Source organism: Homo sapiens, chromosome 11, assembly GCF_000001405.40.
Source record: "Homo sapiens chromosome 11, GRCh38.p14 Primary Assembly".
Lineage (NCBI taxonomy): Eukaryota > Metazoa > Chordata > Mammalia > Primates > Hominidae > Homo > Homo sapiens.
Genome location: NC_000011.10, coordinates 134,216,614 through 134,224,486, shown reverse-complemented (window position 1 = coordinate 134,224,486; position 7,873 = coordinate 134,216,614). Strand labels below are relative to the sequence as shown.

The window sequence follows — 7,873 nt, the reverse complement described above, 5'->3', positions numbered from 1 at the left end:
TGGGCCCACGCGTGCCGCGCAGTCCCTACAGAACTGCAGTTGTCTTGTCTTCTCGGAGTGCTTTCGGCTACTTTTCCCTTATTACTTTAGCTCGATACACGTTGGGCTGCCTTTCACATTCGGATATTACGCTGTTCGAGTGCTGACGGGAAAGGCAGCCCTTTGACACGCACGCGAAATGTCGCCTGACGAGGGCAAAGGTGACAGTTACTACCGGAAGTACCCTATCTCAGATACCCTTTAGATTTTCCCCCATTGAAGAAAAACGAGGCGGGAAAAACGCTGTTAGGGTTTAACTCAGGCCCTGGCTCCTTCTCGAACGAATTAGCGGAACACCCGCAGGAGCCTTGTTTGGCTTCCACTTTTCGGCCCGCCCAGTTCTCTGAGCGTGCGGCGGACGACGCCGGTGATTGGTTGAGCGAATGGAAACGGCTCGGCGCGGTGGTTGGCCAGTGGGAAATTCTGTACGTTGTGATTGGTCCACAGGAACGACTCGGCGCGCGCGCGGGAGCGAGCTTTGAAAGTTGAGCACGGCGGCGGCGAGCCGGTGCCCTGGGATCATGGTGGCGTTGCGGGGCCTTGGTAGCGGCCTGCAGCCCTGGTGTCCGCTGGATCTTAGACTCGGTGAGCAGATGCAGCCGGGAGGCCCGGGGGCCAGGGCGAGGGTCCTATGCGTCCCCGACGATGCCTAAGCCCGGGCCGGGGTGCCGGTGGGGGCGGGGTGGGGGCGCCCGGCTGTCGGCGGTGCCTGGGGTCCCCAGGGCCGTGCCACGCCAGGATTGCGGCTAGCCAGGTTTCCCGTGGGGGCTCAAGCCGGCCAGGCCACCCTTAGAATAAGCGAATGTTGGCCAGTCTCTTCTAGCGCCTGTGCATCTGTTTTCTCGGCCTTCCCCTTCTTCCTGTGCGTGTCTTCGTGCACCTATCTATTCTTACCTATTAAGATGGTTTTAAATTGCAAATCTCTTTCTTCCGCCAGACTTATTTCTTGAACTTCATGTTCATAGGTTCCACTGGATGTCTCACATGCAGACATCATCAAACGTCACATGAGTGAAAATGGGATTCCCAAAGCCTGCTAATGGCACCATCCAAGCCACCAACCCAGGAGTCATGGCATTTCTGCTTCCCCTTTCATGCCCACTACCACTGTCCTGCCTCTGAGGTGTCTCAGGGCAGCCCCGCTCCATTCCTGATGCTGCTGCCTTCATCATAGCCTCGAGCAATTGCAGGAGTATTTTAGCTGCTTTCTGATGTTAACTGTGCCAGCCCATCCCCCACACTTTTGCAGAACGACTTTTGAAAACACAGCTTTGAATGTGTCAAGCCTGTACACCTTTAATGTTTCCCCTTTGTTTCCTAAATAAATGACCACATCCTTGGCATGCTTTATAAGAGCTGCCATTCTCTCCAGTTTGATTTTCCAAGAGCATAACCTTTGGAGTCGGACACACTTGGATTGTTCCCTTGGCTCTACCCCATAGCATCCATGTATTACCGTGCAGGTTGTTTATCCTTGCTAAACCCCTGTTTTCTGATCTGTCAAATGGGGAGTACAATATCTACCTCACAGGGGTTTTTGTAAAGATAAATTTGTACTTGCCACATAATAACTGCTGAACAGATACTAATACCCACAAGCAAACACTGTAACAATTTTGTTCATTTAGAAACACTTTAATTTCTTTCCCTTTGTGTGCTTTGTTACACTGTGCTTGCTGGGAGGCACTTTTCTGCATTTATTTGCCTGGCAAAACTCTTACATTCAGGTCCAATTGAAGAATCATCTTATTCCTCTCCCTCCTCCCCCAGTACTATTCCCTATTAAGCTCTGTAGCATTTTACATTTTACATATCTATTATTTTAACACTCATCCATAGCAAAAATAATAAATACCATCTATTGACTGTTTTTTATGTGGCTAGCACATTGTTAGGGCCTTTATACACATTATGTTTCACAAAAATCCTGTATTTCCAATGATGAAGGAGAGACTAATTATGTGTAAGTGATCAAGTCAGGATATTTGCCTCGTTCTGACTCAAAATTCAGTGGCCTCTCTTCTATCATAGGCTGCTTTTTTTGGTATCCTAAGTGTGAAATGTTGAGATCTTTGTGGACAAGAACCCTCTAGTATTCATCTTTATATCCCTAGAAGTATAAGTGGCTTCCCTAGTATTTTCTCAAAGTGTTTGTTGAGTGAATAGGTGATGTATTTCTTCCTCTTCTTCCATCCTAAGTGAAGTAGCAGAGCAGAAGTTACCTGCATTCGACAGCTGAGAAAATAGGTAGTGAGAGATTTGAATAGTGTAAAGATACTGAGGGAAAAAGACTAACTCAGTGTCTCCTATACTCTCACTCAACAATCAACACTGAAGACTTCTGTGACCAAATGGTAGATAACAGGGCCAGTTACTGCCATCCAAATTAGATTTGATGGTATTTACAGTAGGGAACTGTCATAAGCAAAACCAAAAGAAGGAGTGAGATAACTTTTGCTGTGGTCTATAATGACCTTTAAAACATTACTGGAAATTTGGAAAGAAACAATTGTATTTTTCAGATCTTCTTTCAGGCAGCATATTCCATGTCTTTGGAAGGAATGCTGTGCATAGCCACTTAGGGTACAGAGACCCCCTCCTTCAGGGTCAAGTTCAAGTGACAAAAGATGATGACCAGATTGTATTCTAAGGATGGAACTAGTTGAGTGTAAGGCCTTTCATTTTCATTTGCCGAGTGCAGTGTAATGCTCCCATCTCTGTTTTTTCCTTATTTATACCTTGCCCAACTTCTCTAAATCAGTGGTGAACAAATACTTTTAATATTAATTTGAAGGAACACCTGATTAATAATTTGAGATGTCCACATTTCCATCTAGTCCTAATTTTAGTTTGGGAAAGTGACAATGACAACACTGAAGAAATATAGTGTATTAGAAAAGAATGGGAAGGGGGGATGGAGGGATAGGGGAGGGATACCATTAGGAGAAATACCTAATGTAGATGACGGGTTGATGGGTACAGCAAACCACCATGGTACGTGTATACCTATGTAACAAACCTGCATGTTGTGCACATGTACCCAAAAACTTTAAGTTAAAAAAAAAAGTTTATCCAAAAAAAAAAGAAAAAGAAAAGAATGGGAAGATTTAGAGTTAAGAGAGATTGGTGGAATCCAGCCAGCGTGCTGTCTTAATACCCCTCCTCTCAATGTACATTCTTTCAATCAGTGTGTTTTAAAGTCACCAAGTATTCCTGGGAGTCTGAATCTGGGTTGCCTCTTCTATTTTAAACTTCCTGGAGAAATTATATATGTTTTTTAAATGCTACATGATTGTCCAAGGGCCCAATAAAGTGCTCTATATTTTATTTCCACTTATTAACTTGGTTATGATATTTTCACAAAGGAACCTCGTGGGCAATCTGATTAACCTCTGTTTCTTCTCTAGATTGAACATGTGGGAAAGCCTGATCACTGAATGTTTTGAAGTGTCCTTTCCCAAAACTCTTGTATCTGAAAAGTATTTCCTCCTTTATATTTTTAGAAGATGATTAGCTTAATAGTCAGTGTCAGTTGTGATTTAAGATTCTCTTAACCTTTTCTGGTTTTCTTTTATTATGCTACACCTATGTTATTAAAACAAGTTAAATGTGAATCGTGACTAGTAAACTTTTCTCCTCTTGAACACACCTGGAATCTAAAGGTGACTAGTTTTTTTACTTGTTACAGAGTACTTACACATTTCATTGCATTTTCCCCTAGAATGGGTTGACACAGTGTGGGAACTGGATTTCACAGAGACTGAGCCTTTGGATCCCAGCATAGAAGCAGAGATCATAGAGACTGGATTGGCTGCATTCACAAAACTCTATGAAAGCCTTTTACCCTTTGCTACTGGAGAACATGGATCTATGGAGGTAAAAATATAAAAACAAACTAGCCAAAGTTTGGTGTTAGAAGTAGAAGATGAAAGTCATTATTATAATCTGAAGCTTAGCTTTCTTGGTGTACAGTTCACAGGGAGTACAATATGAGTAACATAAAGAATGTGGTTAATTTATTGGAATATCCTAAGAGCTTTCCTCCAAAAGCTTCAAGGTACTTGTCTGATTTTTTTTTTTTAAGACACGACTGTTTTTTACAATAGCAAATTAAAGGAAAAGTATAAGGCCGGGTGTGGTGTCTTACGTCTGTAATCCCAGCACTTTGAGAGGCTGAGGCTGGCCAGTTGCTTGAGCTCAGGAGTTTGAGACTAGCCTGGGCAACATGGCAAAACCCCATCTCAGAAGGAAAAAAAAAAAGGAAAAATATAAAGGCAAAAACAAGAAAACTAGACCAAGGAAAATGCAAATAACAATTCAGACATGCCTTAACCTTAACTTTAAGAAAATCTGCGACCAGGCATGGTGGCTCATGCCTGTAATCCCAGTACTTTGGGAGGCCGAGGTGGGTGGATCACGAAGTCAGGAGTTCAAGACCAGCCTGACCAAGATGGTGAAACCCCATCTCTACTAAAAATACAAAAATTAGCCGGTTGTGGTGGCGGGCTTCTGTAATCCCAGCTACTCGAGAGGCTGGGGCAGATAATTGCTTGAACCCAGGAGGCGGAGGTTACAGTGAGCCGAGATCACGCCACTGCACTCCAGCCTGGGCGACAGAGCAAGACTCTGTCTCACAAAAAAAGAAAATCTGATATTATTAAACTGAGGAATGACTAGTTGAATTAACAGGTTTGTCCAAACAGTTCCTGTAAATATTGAGTTCTATCCAATGCATAGAAATATAAATTATTATTAATATTTAGGTTGTTAGTTTTCAAAAAAAACCAAAGGGTTGGGAAACAGAACAAAAGCTAATTGGATATTAACATCTCTGAAACATTTAAATGAACAAAAAAAAATTCACTTCCAAGTTTCACATCACAAAATTAAATCATCTAATTAAACATTCCTTCAGCATAACACTAAGCACTGCCTTAAGTACCTGAGTTGACAGAGTGGGGATTACGATACAATCTCCCTAGGTTGAGGTCCTCCCCAGGGACCTCAGGGAGGAAGAGTGGACATTTGAACACTAGCCAAAGTAGGTCTAGCAGCCACATGCAGTTGCAGGGGGTGGAGAGTTCAGTGCCACTGTGCATTTGGGCGCCTGGAAATATTCTACGAACCACACTGTGAAAAATGCTCCAAGAGAGGTGCGGATTTGTTGCATAGGGTGTGAAAAAGGGAGCATGGTAGGGTTGGGAAAGTTCCAGAAAGAAAGTGGCCAGCAGCGAATCTTCACAGATGACTAGCAGAAGCTTGGGTTGTAAGGCAGTCCTAGTGAAGGAGCCACCCAATGGGAACACGCAGGAAGTGTCAAGAGGCATACAGAAAAAGTGTGGTGGAACGGGATGGTAAGGTAGAGTAAGGGTAGGTCACGGGTAGCTTTACGTGAGGTTCAGCAGTGGAGTTTGAACATGTTTGGTAGAGTGTGTATGAGGTTTTGTTCTAAGCGTCCTGCATGTATTAACTCATTTAATCCTCAAGCAGCCTGTGTGAAAGAGGTTACAGTGGGCAATAGATAGGTAACATGAATAGATCTGTTTTAAGCAGACGTTCTTGACAGTAGGTGGACTGAAGTGGGAAAAATTGTGTGCAGGGAGAGCCCTTGGGAGACTGTATTGGTGATCCAGGTGTTATGAGTAATAATGGCATGATCCGGAGTTACAATTTTGGGAACTGGAAAGGAAGACTAAAAACTAGGGACATTTTTGGAATTAGAATTAATAGGGCCTTGTGAACTAGGAAGCCCTTTTGAGATATCTTAAAAACATGGTGTGAAGTGCTAAACTGACTGGGCATAGGGAATTAGAAAAAGAAAGAAGTCAGTGATCCCCAGGGTTTCAAAACTAGGAAGATGATGATATTGTTAACCAAGGTGGGGAATAAGGGAAAAAGAGCAAGGTCAAATGGAGAAACAGTTCTGTTTAGACTTCTGAACTTGAGATTCTGTCAGGAGATCCTTGGGAAGTTTAACAGGTAGTAGAAATGTGAGACCAGGAGAGAGAAGAGAGTTCTTTAAATTGAGGTATGGGTTGAAGCACAGTGATGCATGAGATCACCGAGGGTGAGAAGCAGCCAGGACAGAAATGGAGAGCTGATTGGACGGGGTCTGCAGAGGAGCAGTCACATGTAGGGAGTGCAGGGTCACTGACGCCCAGACTAGACAGCAGCCATGGGATCACATGGGGCCAAGGTGACCCCATATGCAGAGCCCTGGTGAGCAGATGGTTTAGGGTGATCGATCACCCTCGTGTGTGAAGTGGAGGTGCAGGTGGCATTAGGAATGAGGATGTGACACTGTAAAGTTAGGAGATGATTTCTTCCCCCCCCCCCCTTTTTTTTTTTTGAGACCAGGGTCTTGCTCTGTCACCCAGGCTGGAATGCAGTGGCACAGTCAAAGCTTACTGCAGCCTCAACTTATTGGGCTCACATGAGCCTCCCACCTCACCCTCCTGAGTAGCTGGGACTACAGGTGTGTGCCACCACGCCCAGCTAATTTTTTATTTTTTGTGGAGACAAGGTCTTGCTTTGTTGCCCTGGCTGTTCTCAAACTCCTGGGCTCAAGCAGTCCTCCTGCCCTGGCCTCTCAAAGTGCTGGGATTACAGGCATGAGCCATTGTGCCCAGTGGAGATGATTTCTCCCGTAAGTTTTTTAGTTAAGGAAAGGAGAGTGCTCTGCTCACTTGAATTTTGTGGGCCTTTTTTTGTTACGATACTCAAGGATAAACCATATTTAGTTCCTGCTATGTTTAGGTTATTAAAATAACCCATTTCTTCTTCATGTGTTTAGTAGGAGAAGACATGGAATGAAGATAGAATTAATACAATTGTGGTTTCTTTTCTAGGGTTTATCTCCTTTACCTGGGCCATTTCCGAGATCTCTTTCATTTCCTGCTCCCATTGCCTGCAATCTGCAGAACATTTAAATAAAGGGCTCTGATTTCCTCAGTTAGTAATTATTGGTAAAGGAATTTGAGTTCCTTTTAATATAAATAGAGGGATAACTTTCCTGAATAATCACTAATATATGGTGTCCCAAAAGTCTTAGTGTAGTTTTAAGCTATAATTTCTGAAGTATATATGCTACAAACTTAACAAAAAATTCTTTTGAAAGTTTAATTATTTAAATATGTTATATACATATTTATCTTGGTAATTTTGAATAATATACCTTTAATTTTGATATTTTGTTTCAGTCCCTTTGAAGATGGTAAACATTTAGCAGTAGGAGCCAGGCTACTCTATTCCTCTTTTTGTAAGGCACCAAGAACTTACAAAAATCAAATAATAGGAAATGTTTCCATTTCTCTAATGACTGGCTTTTGTGATTTGCGGTCTCCCCACAGAGTATCTGGACCTTCTTCATTGAGAACAATGTTTCCCATAGTACACTGGTGGCATTGTTCTATCATTTTGTTCAAATAGTTCATAAGAAGAATGTCAGTGTACAGTATCGAGAATATGGCCTTCATGCCGCTGGGCTTTACTTTTTGCTACTAGAAGTACCAGGTATGTAGACCTGATATGATAGGATAAATCTTCTGTCATTTTTTTCTTTCTACAGTTTTCAATTCTTATACTTTGTTTCTTGTTTCTTCACTTATAAATGGGGCAGTGCTAACCCATGGCAGAGAGTTGTTGCGAGGAGCAAGTCTCTAAAGTACATGGCATGTTATAGGTCTTGGAAAACCTTCCCCCTTTTTTTTTTCATCCGAAGTTATGCTATCTATAAACTAATAAAAATAGTCTGAGAAGGAGTGCAAGAGTTCCACGCCCACCCTCCACCACGGCCGTCTAAAATTCTGATATTGCCCTTTCTTCTCATGATTCC

At 42.8% G+C, this 7,873-nt stretch overlaps 1 protein-coding gene across 5 annotated transcripts in view, besides 1 other annotated feature; it reads left to right on the top strand.

Moving 5' to 3' along the window:
* NCAPD3 (non-SMC condensin II complex subunit D3) overlaps positions 1 to 7,873 on the top strand; it is a 75,349-nt gene that overhangs the window by 975 nt on the left and 66,501 nt on the right. For 3 of the 5 annotated variants that reach the window (NM_001372065.1, NM_001372068.1, NM_015261.3), the window contains exons 1-3: positions 520 to 624; positions 3,761 to 3,915; positions 7,389 to 7,551. In NM_001372065.1, coding sequence (NP_001358994.1) covers positions 561 to 624; positions 3,761 to 3,915; positions 7,389 to 7,551 — 382 coding nt within the window. In that variant the 5' untranslated portion in view covers positions 520 to 560. Of the gene's footprint in view, positions 1 to 486; positions 625 to 3,760; positions 3,916 to 3,995; positions 4,097 to 7,388; positions 7,552 to 7,873 lie in introns of those variants that run through there. The other 2 variants (NM_001372070.1, NM_001372069.1) reach the window with 2 other exon arrangements.
* Positions 30 to 79: an enhancer, noted in NCBI's record as "active region_5768". NCBI's record gives its function as "activates an Ori minimal core promoter by ATAC-STARR-seq in GM12878 lymphoblastoid cells {active_cell/tissue: GM12878}" and the evidence as "EXISTENCE:reporter gene assay evidence [ECO:0000049][PMID:35858748]".